At 38.3% G+C, this 16,860-nt stretch overlaps 2 annotated features.

Annotated features, from left to right (window-relative positions):
- Positions 1,157 to 1,685: an enhancer, noted in NCBI's record as "OCT4-NANOG hESC enhancer chr6:51204447-51204975 (GRCh37/hg19 assembly coordinates)". NCBI's record gives its function as "activates a minimal SCP1, AML or CMV promoter by ChIP-STARR-seq in naive H9 embryonic stem cells {active_cell/tissue: H9 hESC(naive)}" and the evidence as "EXISTENCE:reporter gene assay evidence [ECO:0000049][PMID:30033119]".
- Positions 1,777 to 2,293: an enhancer, noted in NCBI's record as "NANOG hESC enhancer chr6:51203839-51204355 (GRCh37/hg19 assembly coordinates)". NCBI's record gives its function as "activates a minimal SCP1, AML or CMV promoter by ChIP-STARR-seq in naive H9 embryonic stem cells {active_cell/tissue: H9 hESC(naive)}" and the evidence as "EXISTENCE:reporter gene assay evidence [ECO:0000049][PMID:30033119]".

Here is a 16,860-nt window from a genome sequence, read left to right as displayed (position 1 = left end):
TGAGGGAAAGAGCCAGGTGTTTTAGCAGTCTGCTAAAATGAGAGTAGCATTAATGTGCTCTTGGGAAAAGCAAGAAGCCTGGTTAGTTTATGAACTAAATAAAAGGCTATACCACCTTGATAAGAGTGAGATCAAAGAAGGAACATGAATTAATCTGCATGAAGTGGAGTATAGGTGTGTGTGTCCTTGGATGTCTGCATGTGTGTATGTGTGAATGTCCCTATGTGTGTCTTTCTACATAGCTCCATGAGTGTACGTGCATATGCACACCTGTGTGTGTTCTTACATGTATGCCTGTGTGCCAGTACATACCCATGTGTGTGTATGCGCATACATGTGTGCCAGGGTGAGTATATACATAAATGCTTGTGTATATGCACCCATGTGTATTCCTATGTATATGCGCATCATGTGTGTGCCTATATGCATGCTTGTATACATGTTCTTTTATATGTGGCTGTATGTCTTATATGTTTGCCCACTTGTATATATGCATCCTTGTATACATGTACGAGCTGTGAATGTGCAAACAGATTTGTGTCCTTGTGTGAGGCGTGTGCCCATGTACATGTGCTTGTGTGCCTGTGCCTTTATACATGTGTGTATATATTACTTGTATGTGGTGTAAATAAGGAAATTGGTGTGAGGAGAAAGTAAGTATGGAAAGATGTACTCAGAGCCCAGAAGGTAAAGGATTTCATACTTGAGGCTTGGAATATATCTTATGTTGATAGGTTTTAAACCAGAAAATGCTATGGATAGATGTGCATTTTTTGACAAGTCATATTGGCAGCACTAATGAACCAACAACTAGACAGGAACATTAATAGTGAGGAAAGAGATATCTGTACATTTCGATAACTTCTTTAAAAATTAGAAAACATAATATGTAAAGCTGACATTCTTATATATTCTATAGGGTGTGCATCATTTTGCCTTAGGTACCTGAAAACCTGAAATGAATGCTAGAACTATTCATTAGCATGTAAGTCCCAGAGGAGGGTGGTTTAATATGTCATGCACTTAATCATTAAATTTAGGTAACAACATTTTCCCTCACTATCTGCAAAGGCATTTCAATAAGCTTTCTGTGTCATCTTATGAGAACGACCTAATGATTCTTCCTCTTCGATTGAAAAGCAAACAAAACCTCATGTATGCAGTAATGAGCCTTGTCCTCCGTTTGCTAGAGCCAGAGCTAAAAATTGAACACAGAGCCTAGAGCAGAGGTTGTGATTCGAAAATCTACCTGCTGCTCTGCTTTCAAATGCATGTAAAGACGTGAATGAAGACTGTTTTCTTAAGATGGTGAGGATTTGCTGCCCCACCCCTTCCACTGCCATTCAACCACATTTACCTCTGACCCACTCCTTTTTTAATCTCCTTAATCTAGCCCATTCACACAAACACAAAGGGGTGACGTCACCATGCCTGTAGTTAGAGTATCTGAACCTTTTAGGAAGGTTAACATCAAAGGACATGCTTTTCCTACGTGCAGTCTCAGGGAGGGACTAATTTTGACTACTCAGGTTCTTCCATATTAATGGGCTCTGCTACATCAGTGAGGGAAAAAAAAAATCTAGACGGAGTCCAAGTAACTGCTCAGGAGTTCTGATCAATTTTCCAACTGTCACATTCTTTCTTGATTCCACTTCGGAAGGTGATGCAGGGTTTATAGAATATAAGGGCAAAAAAGACCTACCCTTCACACACCCAGATTTAAGTGTAGTTCATTTAAGTGTTAAAATGGTTCCCAATTTTTTAACTGCTAATGTCAGTATAATCAATCTAAACCATAAAACAAAAATATACATAGAATAATGAGTGCAGTCCAGCAAATTCAGTGCTTGACTGAAGAATATGAATTCCATGGAGCTGTGGGGAGACTTCATTACATACATGTGCACACAGGCCAAAATAGAGAGGTCCCCATGCTGGATGAGTCCTCAGGCAACTCATGGATATGCTGAGTAAAAGTCTCTGCCTTGGAGAGTGAGCAGTAGAAATGCTCAGTGGGAGACACCATAGGGAGCTGTCAATGGCTTTGAAGAGGAGTGATTTGGTCAGTTTTGTTTTGGTGAGGTCGTTCACGCCAGCATCTGAGACCAGTAGGCTGGCATTGGAGTGAGATAGGATGTTGTTAAGATCCTTCATACAGGGGGCGATTGAAGCTTTCAAATCAACAGTGGTGGTCATGAGGAAGAAGAGAAAAATATATTAGAGCTAAGGAAAAACTTCATAAATGGTTGGATGTGGAACAGAAAACAGAGAGAATGAGGATTTACTCAAAGTATTCTAGCTCAGACAGGTAGGTAGATAGTAAGGCTACCTGAAATAGAGAATATAGAATTGGGATCACAGTCCACAGGATGAGGAAGAGTTCATTTTGAACATTTTGCACTTGAAGTGGTTTGGGATATCTGCTGGCAATGTCTAGCAAACTGTCAGATATATGGTTCTGATGCTTGGGACACAGGTCCGAATCACTTATACAGATTAGATAGTCGTCAGCACACTGAAATAGCAGGAAGCATGAATGTGTCTGAGGTTAACCCATAGGACTTGCCAATTAAGAAGAGTCATGACTGAGGCACAGAGAACCTGAGAGTGTCTGTAGTCCAAATATGAAAGAGACAAGAGGAAAAAGTAAAAACAAAAGGGAAGAACAATTTGAGAAGAACCAGGAAAGTGCAATGTTGTGGAAGCCAAAGGACCACAGAGAGCTTGGGGAAGGCCCTGAAGATGCTTCTGAGCTGAGTGCTGAGTTTCACAGAGAAATTATTCTAAAGAAGAAGATGGGGAAGGGCATATCTGAAAGGGAGACAGGCATTGTGAGGTGTGAGCACCATAAGGATGCTTTCCATACCTCTACATATTTTTTTCTGTAGCATCAGTGCATAGCATGATGATTCATGTAGAGCAAACTTGTCCAACTCACAGCCTGTGGGTTGCATGCAGCCCAGGATGGCTCTGAATGCAGCCCAATACAAATTTGTAAATTTTCTTAAAACATTACAAGATTTTTTTTTTGTATTTTTTTTCTAGCCCATCAGCTATTGTTAGTGTTAGTGTATTTTATGTGTGGCCCAAGACAATTCTTCCAGTGTGTTCCAGGGAAGTCAAAAGACTGGAATCCCCTGGTGTAGAGCAAAGGCTTGAATATACAATTATTAAAATGAAGTGACCCTATAATAAAATAAAGTAAATGAACAAATTGAGTGCTCAATTGAAAATCATCATAATCATAGGTGGTATTTATACTTAATTTCCCATAAGGTGTTTTTATAAACATCATCTCATTTAAACTTCCCAGAAACCTTATTTCCTAAGACAGTGTTATCATCTACACTTTACACATGAAGAACTTGAGGCTGATGATTTGCCTAAGGTCACACTGGTGGTAAATGGCAGATGAAAGACTTGAACTCTGGTCTTTTGAATCCGAGCCCATGCTTTTTCAGTTGTATAGCACTGAGCACAGTTTCTCAGTGAGTCCTTTGTATCTGGGACAGCACACAACAGAAACCTGGGGGTTGTACATAACGCAGGCCCCAGCTATGTTTTACCCCAGGGTTTGTGTAATGGAGTGATGTAGCTAAGGTGACAACACTGACTTTCAGCTAGAGAAATGGGAGCTTCCCCTGAATTGCCTTGAGGCTGCTTACGTTTGTGAACTGTTGCTGCTCCTATAGCCTTCTGCCCAATAACTATACGCCTCTTCTTCCTTACTGGCATAGCCTCATCTTTGTTTTCAATGGCAATGTGCTCAGAAACAACACTCCCCAGTTTCCCTTACAGCTAGGAATGGCTGTGTGACTGGCACCAGGGCAGACCTGGCTGCCATGGTCCCAGTTCTCTATTTGATCTTTGTCCTTTGCCCTCTTGGAACATGAAAACAACGGCCAGAGGTACAGTCATTATTTTATGAATATGAAGGCAGAATAGGCTAAGAATGGCAAAAGATGAAGACAGAAGGAGGCTGGACCCTGATGGCACATTTGAGCCACCACACTAGCCATGGATGGCTCACTTATACACTTCTGAAGTATGAAAATCAAAGTCCTCATTTATTTAAGATGTAGTCTTTCATATATTTTGTTAATTGTTAACTATGATCCTGATATAAAAAAATCATATGTGCTGTGCAGAAGCTTTTTAGCTTAAGTATGTCTCATTGTCTATTTTTGTTTCAGTTGTCTATGCTTTTGAGGTCTTAGTCATAAACTCTTTGCTTGGACCAATGTCCAGAAGAGATTTCCCTAGATTTTCTTCTGATATTTTTATAGTCTCAGGTCATACATTTAAGTCTCTAATCCATCTTGAGTTTATTTTTGTATATGGTGAGAGATAGGGGTCAGGTTTCAGTCTTCTGCATATGGTGATCCCAATTTTCCTAGCACTATTTGCTGAAAAGAGTGTCCTTTCCCCACTGTGTTTTTGTTAGCATTGTCAAAAATTAGTGATGGAGACATTAAGAGCTTTGACTTCACCACTATGCAATATATCCATGCAACATTGACTACATGGATACATTTTAAAACATTAGTTACATGGATAAATTTTTTAAAAATTTTAAAGAATATGTATGCCATAAACTGACATGCATAACAAATGTTTAGATAATATCCATGTCGTATTTCACAGTACCAGCTAGCCTACTTCACTCTTGTGTCTCCCATCTTTCAGTATCTATGTTTACAACTCATCATTTAGAGACATAGAAGGAGTATTCATTTTATCAGTCATGGAACTATGCAGGAAGTTTATGTTTAGGGAAGATCGTTTAAAACCAAAGAGTTGAATGTCTTTCAAAATAAACTAGGGATAAACAAAACTGTACGATACTTTACAATCTAATATAAATCATTATACTGCCACAGAACGTTAGTTAAGAGCTTGAACTTTGAAGTCATACAGACTGCAACATGCATTACAACTCAACTCTGTTATTTGCTAGCTGTGTTACCTGGGACAACTTGCTTAATCTCTGTGAGCCCTAATTCACTTATCTGCATCCTGATAATTTTAACACTGGGATACGGTTGTTACAGGGATTAAGTGTGAAAATATAAAGTGTCTACTGTTTGGAACAATCAAGAAAACCTTCACTAATGATAGATATTAATATTAAGAAAGATTATCTTTCTACTTACAGTATAAGACATATGCCCTTCCTAACTCACTGTTAGTAGGTCTCCAGGATAGGAATGAGTTGTGATGAACCATTCACTGTCTAGCCTCATCCTCCTTGGGACCAGTGGATGGGGAGAGACACAAAGTGTCTTGAGGTAATGCCTGAGATGAAATGGAGAACTTCAAGCTCATGGCCTCTACAGCAACTAATTTTAGAGAAGGGTCTGATGGAAGTGGGAAGAATTCTGAAAAGCCACATCATGTTCAGGAAAAATGATGGCCACTATTGGATGTTTTTTCCAGAGTCTAGGACAGAACCAGAAAACTCCCACACTCATTCAACGCAAGAAAAGTTAACTGACCTCCTCAATGGAAGCCAAAGACACAGGCCTTGGCCACTTCGTACTCCTACAGTTCCTGTTGGCTCTCAGTAAAGCAAGAGTCAACATTTCTCTAGCCATGATGCCAAGTTATTGTAGAGTGCTTTTGCAACTTTCTTGTGCAACATGAAGATAAAAAAGATAACCCTTATTTATAAATGTAGCATATTGCTGTCTAATCTAGAGTTCTTAACCCTTTTGAAGTTTTAGAGCTCTTTGAACATCAGATGAAAGTTCAGAACTCTTTTTACAAAAATGCATGCATAGAGCCACTAAATTTGCTTATAATTTTAGAGTTTTCAGATAATCCATGAAGTCAATTCATACACCTACTATGGATTCACGGGCACAGGTAAATAATTCTTAGTCTAAGCATTCAATCTTCTTTTTTTATATTTGTTGTCATTAGTCAGAGGCCCAATATTTCATGTTTTATTTCTAAAAGTTTTGCAGAGTAAGACAACAATGAACTACCCATTCATTACCTTCAATGAAAGCCCGACTTGCTAGACTTCGGAAATGCGGTGAAACAAATCCTGTTTCAGGTTTGCTTTTTACAGAATGGGGATAATTTTTATTATTTTTTCTTCTTTTTCAGATTTTTTCCCCTTATTTGTAGGAGGTGGCAGTAGGATTTTCTGGCAGTCCAAGGTACAGTTGTCTAGTTTCATTTTCTTAAGATGGTGAGAGGCCAGCCTCTTATTACTGGGTCAACTTTGAATAGAAAGGGTGACCACAACCTCCTGCTTTACTCTTATATCAGGATAGTCCCTGTCACCAGCTGCCTCAGTGGAATGGAAAGTTTCTCCTCCATGGCAGCTTTTCATGCTGTGCCCTGTTGTGAAAGGACCAAATTTGTCTTAAGAACAAATTTTGTCTTAAGACAAAATTCCTATACTTAAAGACAAAAGTGAAAACAGGAGATAGAAATCCTGCATTCTCATGCATACTTCCCACCAGATTGCAACGTGCATAAACATAATCAAATAGCTGTAATATTAATCCCTGATAAAATCAATTGAGGAGTGCTGTGTTACTACACACCATGTACATTCTTAAGCAATTAAGATGGATTGCCTCATTTAATCTTCATAACAACCCTATAAAGTAGGTACTGTTGCTATGCACATATTATAGCTGAAGAAACTGAGGAACAGAGCTTAACATTAAAGAATTTATTAAAGAAGATGAGGAAGAAGGAAGAGGAGGAGGAGGTGGAGAAGAAGGAGGAAAAGGTGGAGGAGGAGAAGAAGAAGTATGAGAAGGATAAGGAGTAGGAAGAGGAGAAAAAGAAGGAGGTGGAGGAGGAGGAGAAGGAAGAGGAGGAGAAGGAGGACAAAGAAAGAGAGACTGTTTTCTTTTTTTTATTATTATTATCATACTTTAAGTTTTAGAGTACATGTGCGCAATGTGCAGGTTAATTATATATGTATACATGCGCCATGCTGGTGTGCTGCACCCATTAACTCATCATTTAACATTAGGTATATCTCCTAATGCTATCCCTCCCCCCTCCCCCCACCCCACAACAGTCCCCAGAGTGTGATGTTCCCCTTCCTGTGTCCATGTGTTCCCATTGTTCAATTCCCACCTATGAGTGAGAACATGCAGTGTTTGTTTTTTTGTTCTTGTGATAGTTTACTGAGAATGATGATTTCCAAATTCATCCATGTCCCTACGAAGGACATGAACTCATCATTTTTTATGGCTGCACAGTATTCCATGGTGTATATGTGCCACATTTTCTTAATCCAGTCTATCATTGTTGGACATTTGGGTTGGTTCCAAGTCTTTGCTATTGTGAATAATGCCGCAATAAACATACGTGTGCATGTGTCTTTATAGCAGCATGATTTATAATCCTTTGGGTATATACCCAGTAATGGGATGGCTGGGTCAAATGGTATTTCTAGTTCTAGATCTCTGAGGAATTGCCACACTGACTTCCACAATGGTTGAACTAGTTTACAGTCCCACCAACAGTGTAAAAGTGTTCCTATTTCTCCACATCCTCTCCAGCACCTGTTGTTTCCTGACTTTTTAATGATTGCCATTCTAACTGGTGTGAGATGGTATCTCATTGTGGTTTTGATTTGCATTTCTCTGATGGCCAGTGATGATGAGCATTTTTTCATGTGTCTTTTGGCTGCATAAATGTCTTCTTTTGAGAAGTGTCTGTTCATATCCTTTGCCCACTTTTTGATGGGGTTGTTTGTTTTTTTCTTGTAAATTTGCTTGAGTTCATTGTAGATTCTGGTTATTAGCCCTTTGTCAGATGAGTAGGTTGCGAAAATTTTCTCCCATTTTGTAGGTTGCTTGTTCACTCTGATGGTAGTTTCCTTTGCTGTGCAGAAGCTCTTTAGTTTAATTAGATCCCATTTGTCAATTTTGGCTTTTGTTGCCATTGCTTTTGTTGTTTTAGACATGAAGTCCTTGCCCATGCCTATGTCCTGAATGGTAATGCCTAGGTTTTCTTCTAGGGTTTTTATGGTTTTAGGTCTAATGTTTAAGTCTTTAATCCATCTTGAATTAATTTTTGTATAAGGTGTAAGGAAGGGATCCAGTTTCAGCTTTCTACATATGGCTAGCCAGTTTTCCCAGCACCATTTATTAAATAGGGAATCCTTTCCCCATTGCTTGTTTTTCTCAGGTTTGTCAAAGATCAGATAGTTGTAGATATGCGGTGTTATTTCTGAGGGCTCTGTTCTGTTCCATTGATCTATATCTCTGTTTTGGTAACAGTAACATGCTGTTTTGGTTACTGTAGCCTTGTAGTATAGTTTGAAGTCAGGTAGTGTGATGCCTCCAGCTTTGTTCTTTTGGCTTAGGATTGACTTGGCGATGCGGGCTCTTTTTTGGTTCCATATGAACTTTAAAGTAGTTTTTTCCAATTCTGTGAAGAAAGTCATTGGTAGCTTGATGGGGATGGCATTGAATCTATAAATTACCTTGGGCAGTATGGCCGTTTTCATGATATTGATTCTTCCTACCCATGAGCATGGAATGTTCTTCCATTTGTTTGTATCCTATTTTCTTTACATTATTAAATTCAGCCTTCATAATAAACACATGAATTTTGAAGAAACTGAAGCTCCCAAGATCAACTGACCTAGATAGAGGATTTAGATGCTCATAAAACAGTGCCGGTAACATAGGAGGTACTTACCCTATTCAGTAATAAACCATAGGCCATAAGTACCAAATTAGGACTGAAATTCAGGTCTCCTGACACCTTTCTACTATACCCACTCCTGACTCTCTAATACAATAAAAGTTTCCCAGCACACAGATGACATTTTCTTTATTACTGTTGGGTATAGTGAACCTAAAAACACAAAAAGTCAAAACACTGTGCTATTTCCAGTTCAAACTATGTCAAATTAGACCCCTTCTCAGGTCATTTTAATTTCATTCTTACACAGTATCTGTTTTTGTTCCCCTCTTCTACCTTTTGGTTACTGGAACTCTTGGATCAACCTTCCCCATATTAACAGATCTTTTGCATGTAAGTGGAAAACACATTCAAGGCAGGAAGTTCATCTTTGGATCTCTAGGTCACAGCTTCCCCTGTATTCTCCATCTCTTTGCACTATCCAGTATCAAAACTTGTCCTTAGGACAGGATCAAGTAGAACCCTTTTACACCCCTGCTTAGTGGGGATTTTTAAGCACAGCTGCCAGTCTCAGTGAGTTTTATTTAAACCCTAACTCGAATAATGCTCCAGATCTTTACAGGATTATTTTTGGCCATGCACTGCACATCAGACACCTCAACTACCTTCTCATGAAATGAAATGGGTGTCTTCTTGTGAAAGGTATTTGAGATACTAACACTTCTGCTTGTGGGGGTCAATATTTTGGGGGTCACTTGATCCTCCCAAGGCTTTTGAAGTGGAAGTACAGGCATTCAATAACTCCAGTTTTAGATGAAAACTATTTGGAATGAGCTTTTGCAGAGTCTCCCATTCTCATGAACATGTGACTGTCAATCTCCTTCTAGAAATACTGAATTATTTAAGGGCACACTAAAATTTTCTACCTGGAAGAAGCGGTAAAATGGATTCGCTCACCAAGGGTTACGCTTAAGAAGAGAGTCTGGAAGTGACAGGTACTTCTAAAAACTATTTGGAAATTGTGTCTGCCTGGACTTATTTTCATTTATCAAATATTATTTTGCTACCGTACCTAAGGTGCTGTAACTAATGTCTCCAATTGCACTTCCCTACACCCTGGCCTTGTGCCTGCCAGCCCTGTGAGAGAAGGGCGTCAAATGACATCAGGAAGACTGCTCTTTAATAGCCGGCATTATTTTATTAAGGAAAATTTGTGTTGCCCTTTTTCCCTCTCAAAGGTGCCAAATGGACAGATTTTGATTTTTTTGGCTAAGGGAATTAAAGACCAGGGAAGTGGCTTTGCTCCCCCTCTGGCACTTCCACCGCAAGTTCAGGAGGCGCCTGCTGAATCCAATCACTTTGAGCAGCTAAAATTTAAGGTTTGAATTTCATCTCAGAAATGCACAAAGCCTGAGAATTGGTGACAGTATCAGAGTGGGGGTTGTTGTCAGTTACCTGTTATCCTGTTGCTACTCACAGCTGGCCCAGGTGTATTCCCCCCAGGTAAGGCAGGAGGCCCTGTTGAATGCCACATCTCTTTGTTGCATATTATCTCATTAGTTAAGCTGTCAAGAAAGTTGCCAGTGAGGAGGTTGTGGGGTGGAGGGACACACAGAGTTTAATCCAATTAAAACTTCACTGGCTTTTCCACATTCCTGATATCCTGGCTCAAACTAGGAAGAATCTTCTTAATACAGGGGGCATCTTGGGGGTAAAAAACTAATCTTAAATGTTTGTATTGCAGCAAGGCATAACATAAAGCATAAAGCAAAAGAGAAAGGATTTGTGGTATGAGAGATAAAGATAAAAAGATCTCACTTCTAACTCTGTTCTCAGTAGCCTTTTACACAGTGCCGTTTTAGGTGTAAAAAGACTCAATGAGCAAGTCAGGCAGGAAGGTTCTGGGTAGCTCCTACCCAAGAGAGACCTTTCTCAGTAGAATTTTGACCTGACTTCTAAGAAAGGATTTGGTGATCTCAGGAAGATCTTTCTTCAGAAGCCTGGGGAAACAATGACTGCAGCCCTGGATGCCTTAGAATTAAAACTAACAAATGTGCTCAGATTTAAATCTATGCCACCACATATTGACACATATTGACACAGATGGTACATTTTAGTGCTAAATCTATTTTTCTTTGCTCACAATGGAAAACATGCATGCAAGCTCACTCAACAGAATAGTTTCTGAATGAAATCTGTATTAGAAGCAAGCCTATGTATGAAGCAACTTCAGAGCCCTGCAAATGTCTTCTGAAAGGACTGCACAGACTGAGAGCAGGGCACCGTCCTTTCCTAGGGTGAATGAAGGAAGGCAGAGGGTGGAGGACTACGTAGCATGCATGGGTGAAGGACACAGGGGAGAAGAGAATGCCAGCTTTGATAAACGTAGCTGACTTTGATATTCCAAGACTATATTTCCATTTCCATTTCACAGAAAGCATGCTCATTTTGAAAAATCTGATGCTTTCAGAAAATAATACTGTATATGCTTTCAAAAGCAGTTTTGTATCCTGGAAAATATTTAAGATATGTTGTTAAGTGAGAAAAGCAAATTGAATTATGTGGTTGCATTTTTGTTTTTAAAGTCACACACACACACAGACACACACACACACACACACACACAGAGTATGTATTTGTACTTGCCTGATACATAGGACACTGTTTGTATTGGCCATCTCTAGGGAATGGAGGAAAGGGAGTGGTGAGAATAATTAATTGTCTTAGTCCATTTGTGTTCCTGTAAAGGAATAAAGGAATACCTAAGGCTGGGTAATTTATAAAGAAAACAAAGTTTCGTTTGGCTCATGGTTCAGCAAACTATGGAAGAAGCATGGTGTCAACATCTGCGTCAGATGAGGGCCTCAGGAAGCTTCCACTCATGGTGGAAGGTGAAGGGGAGCCAGTGTGTGCAGATCACATGGTGAGAGAGGAGGTGAGACAGGGGAGGCAGGAGCCAACCTCTTTTCAACAGTCAGCCCTCAGAGGAACTAATAGAGAACTCATTCATTACCGCGAAGATGGCACCAAGGTCTTCATGAGACATCCACCCACGACCCAAACACCTCCCACTAGGCCCCTCCTCCAACATTGCAGATCAAATTTCAGCATGAGATTTGGGGGGCGGAGGAGAGAGACAAATAGCCGAACTATATGAACTATAAATTATTTCACTAGTACACTTTTTTATAATTAAAAAACTAGAGATTCTAATAAAACAGTGAAGGAATTATGGTTACACTGAAGTAAACTTACAATTCTCTCACAGTAGTAAACATATCCTAAAGAGCATGTTAGCCTCATCTTCCCAGGACCAGAGAAAATTGTGTGACTAATGGTTAGTATTAATTAGTGTTTAATAACTGAACTAAAGTAATCTTTTCAAAAAGGTAACTCTCAAGTTTCATCTAGCTAGAAAGTCTTGTTAGAAAGTCTTATTAATAACAGCTAGGAGAATAACAGTCTTTTTATGAGAAAAGTGAATATCTTCCAGTAAGGATTTATACTTTCAATGTACCGAAGTGATTTTAAATAGGAGAGAACTTACAGGCCCGATTAATAATTTTTTTTAATGATCTATTTCTGTATACCAACCAAAGTCACAAGCATAAAGTGTTGCTTATCATTTGCAGGAGGAAACAATCCATGGACTTCTTGAAACCTATCCAGGGTCCAACCTAGCAATGAATTATTATACCGGATATGCTTATCAGGATTACCTGTGAAATTTACCTGAGTTTGAAGCAATAGATTAAGCTTGTCCATCCCACAGCCTGAGAGCTACATGTGGCCCATGACGGCTTTGAATGCAGCCCAACACAAATTTTTAAACTTTCTTAAAACATTGTAAGATTCTTTTGAATTTTTTTTTTTTTTTAGCTCATCACCTATCATTAGTGTTAGTGTATTTTATGTGTGGCCCAAGACAATTCTTCTTCTTCCAATGTGGCCCAGAGAAGCCAAAAATTGGACACCCCTGCAATAGAGATTAGGTAAAGAGGAAAGGAGACAGGGTGGTATTTTAAAAAAAATCTTTACAGGTGAGCTTTGCTTACTCCAAAATGATCATGTGTACCCACTGGGGTTCCTGAATCTTTGGTTAAGAACATTTCATTGCAGTTTTTTCTTGCTTTCTGCTTTTGCGTTTTTGTTGTTTTCGCTGTTGTTGTTCTAATGAGGAGAGAGGAAGAGGAAGCTCTGGCAGAAAGCAGTTGAAATATATGGAGAATGATTTCAGATGCAAGCTGTAGACCTAGGAGTGCTTTCCTGTTATTCAGCTGAGAAGTCGCCTGGAACCTTGCAAGGAGCAAGGTTTAGGTGAGGCACAGTAAGTAGCCCAGGGGCACTGTGGTATAGTCCAATCTGAAAATAACCCCCAGATCCTCCCAGAAGACAGGGCTCTCTGCTCCTCCATATACCACCTTCACTGGCACTAACTAGTCCAAGTCCTTCAAAACCTATGAGTTGGGACCATGGAAAACCTCTGAGTTGGAACTGAGGCTAAGGAATTGTATAGGCTCAGTAGCTCCTTTATGCCACATTTCTTAAATTTGGCTGCACAGTAGAATCGCTTTGAGGATATTTTTAAAATCCTGATACCTTAGCCATATCCCAGACCAGTTAACAGTAGCTTTATAAAGCTCCTTAGGTGATTCAATGTGTAGCCACCGCTTTACAGCCCTTTTTGGTGAAACTTTCCTCCCAGTATGGCTGAAACCTCTAGACATTAATACTCTTATTTAGATTTCACCCATGAACTAAGCGTATACATTTCCTGTGTCATTTCCTTTTAGCGAGGCTGTGAAACTGAGAGTCAAAATTTCAACATTTATGGAATGAGAGTGGAAGATGGAAACCTGACCAGGACATCACCTCATTTCATTTGGCAGCAAACTTTTTTTTAATTTTAGTCTCTGTCCAATTCTATATTCACCTTAAGAAAGCAATCCCTGTAAACAGAGAAATACAGCAAAGTTTTACGGTAATCAGTTATCAATAAATGTGTTATCCTTTACATTTTAGGTCCTTCATTAGCAATTAATTATAAGTAATTAATTATGAATTAATTTTATTTTTCCAAAAAATTGATTAAAAGGACAATGTACACAAAGAAATTAGCAAGTTTAGACTGTGAATGCTGGAATTATATTAGACTGTGTTTATAAATTAACCAGGACTTTCAGTAGTATTAGGAACTGAATTCAAAATAGCTCAGGCAATAACACAAAACAAAAACCAACAATAATATATTGGCTCATCCATTTGATCCAGGTGCCCCAAAAATTTTGTCATCCTTTTTCCAAACACTTTGTGTTTTTTATTGTTACATTTTTATTGTTTTATTTGTTACCTTTTCAAACCCCTTCTTACCAAGTAGAAGAAAAATGGTTACTAGGTATTCTTCCTTCCATGGTCCCCAAAAAATTTCTCCCTGAGACTTAGAAGGAACCCTTCACTTCCAGCACCTTTATAGCACATCTAACAGAAGGGCTAGGCCTGCTTTGGGATTTATCATTGTGGACAGAAATGTAGGGTACCATGGTTGGCCAGGCCTGGATCATATGACCTCTTTGGTATTAAAGGCAGGCTGGCATGTGAGTGACAGTCCCATTAGAGCCACCTAACAGAACAGCACGGCTCATAAACAGAAGAGAAGCAATGTAGGCAAATATACATCTACCATGGTATGTAAATTGTACTCCAATTCCCTGGTTTTTTTAACCAAGAATATCATTACATAGGGAAAAGTATTGAAATCCGTCAATATCAAACAACATATACCATATAGTAAAATGTTACAGATAAGTTTGTTCATCCATAAATATTCCATCTTAAAGCTACTATGCCATGAGACACTAGACTGAATTTCTATTTGTTTCAGAAATAACTTTCTGTGGACATCAAAGTAATTTTCATCAGAATAATTCTTCAGTTATTAACAAAGAAAAAATCACAATAAAATAGGTCTGCTAGAAATGTGCTTTATTATTCTCTTATATTTTTGCAACCTTTATGTTTTATGACATAAAACATAAATTAACAGTAGATTAATATTTTCAAAGCAATGATTCATATAACTACCAATATAACCACTACTCAGGTCATTCCTCCAGGATCCCCCAGGTTCCCCCTTCTATAACATTACAACCCTTTCACTTTAAATGAAGGTGATCTTTTAAATAGAGGTGGCTTTTTCACTTTCGCCATAGTTTTACTACTGATGTAGGCCTCTCTAAAAATATGTTAGCTGTTTTAAAATTTTATCTAGGTGAAATTTTATGTGTATACACACACATACACATACACACATATATATATTCTTTTGTTTTACTTTATATACTCAATACTGTTCACAAGTTTATCCATATTTTTGTAGGTAACTGTCATTTGTTTATTTCCATTTCTGTATAGCATTTCATTGTATAAATAACTATAATTTAATCAACTAAATAAATTGATTAGTCTGATTAAATAAATTAGACCAACCTCATATTTATCACCTAGGAGATTGCCAGAAATAGACAATTTCAGACTCCATCTCACACTAACTGAATTAGAATTGTAATTTTAACAAGATCCCCAAGTGATTTGATGGAGCATTAAAGTTTGAGAAAAAAATCATTGTAGGTTTTATATATTCCACTTTAGGTTATATATGTACATTTAACAATATATACACTATATATATGTATGTATAACAATATATACACTATATATATGTATATAATTTGAAGAGGAATAATTTTGGGAGGTCTTAATAATACCGATATTTTTAACATTTCTAGATGTCAACCTGCTTTTAATAGCAGATTTACAATTACACATCCACAACCAGAAATGTGTGTATTTTCAGATATTTTTCAAATTCACCAAGAAAAGAACACATTAACTTATTTTTAATAACACATAAGCCATCTCTCTTTTAATGGCACTTATTCAGGACAGAATAGTGACTTTTCACAGGCCAGATTTTAAACTGTGTTATCTCATTCCCTCATGGTGTGCAACGAGAGCTACCATGAAACTGGACTGATCAAATAGGTTTCTTTTACCAGATACCAGGTTATGTGAATCTTCCATCATTGCCTCCATAAGGTCCTTGTTAATCTGTACATTATCAGGAGGAGGAGAAGGAGTATCACTGCATAGAACTTCTTAACATGTGCTTGGATGTGATTATGAATTTTCTTAATGGTAAGCAGACATTTTGGTAGGAATGAGAAATAGGGACTCTGGAGCAAATGGTATTTCTCACATTAACTTTGTCTCTAGGGAGGCTCCTGACAAACATGGGAAATATAGGTATATATGAGAGCCTTGAAAAGTGTGGTGGAGTAGACAGGAGACTCCTAAAGATGGAGTGGAATACTAACATATCCGATTGCACTACCCATTTACGTTTTTACATGTAAGAGTGCACTTGCCTTACAAGGATGAGATGCCCCAAGAGCAACGATGGGAAGTTTTAAGAGCTGAGAAAATCTCTCCTATGTGGGTTATCAGCTTCTAGGAGGTATAGGTGAAAACCAGAAAAAACTTTCAAATTCAGCTTCACCAGGCTGGAGCCTTTGCTGAAAGGATTTCAAAAACACCAATAGAAACCCACTAAATGAAACAAAAAACACTTTGTTGTATTCCTTATACTCTTACCTGAAATCCCCTTTGCCCTCAATCCTGAGGACTTGAACATCCTAGGTGACTATGCCTGAGCAGCTTTTGTAGCAACAAAATCTTTAAGAGTGTTCATATTACATGCATGTATAGAGAGGAGGAAAGTTAGTTTGATTTAATAAAAAGTGTGCATCATGTTGTATTGCATTACATTCAAATACATAAGATAGAGGAGATAAAATTGAACATTGTTTACCTCCCAAGAAGTGACATTCTGAAGCCCAGGGTAACCAATAGACAACCACATGATAATTAGCAATATTATTTACTTACAATTTTATTTATTTATTTATTTATTTATTTATTTATTTATTTATTTATTTATTTTTGAGACGGAGTCTCACTCTGTCACCCAGGCTGGAGTGCAGTGGCACGATCTCTGCTCACTGCAACCTCTGCCTTCTGGGTTCAAGGGATTCTCCTGACTCAGCCTCTAGAGTAGCTGGGACTACAGGCACGTGCAACCACTCCCAGCTAATTTTTAAAATATATTTTTAGTAGAGATGGGGTTTCACCATATTGGCAAGGCTGGTCTCGAACTCCTGACTTCGTGATCTGCCCACC

The sequence above is a fragment of the Homo sapiens genome, chromosome 6, assembly GCF_000001405.40.
Source record: "Homo sapiens chromosome 6, GRCh38.p14 Primary Assembly".
Taxonomy (NCBI): Eukaryota; Metazoa; Chordata; class Mammalia; order Primates; family Hominidae; genus Homo; species Homo sapiens.
This window is presented reverse-complemented; position numbering and strand designations above follow the sequence as displayed.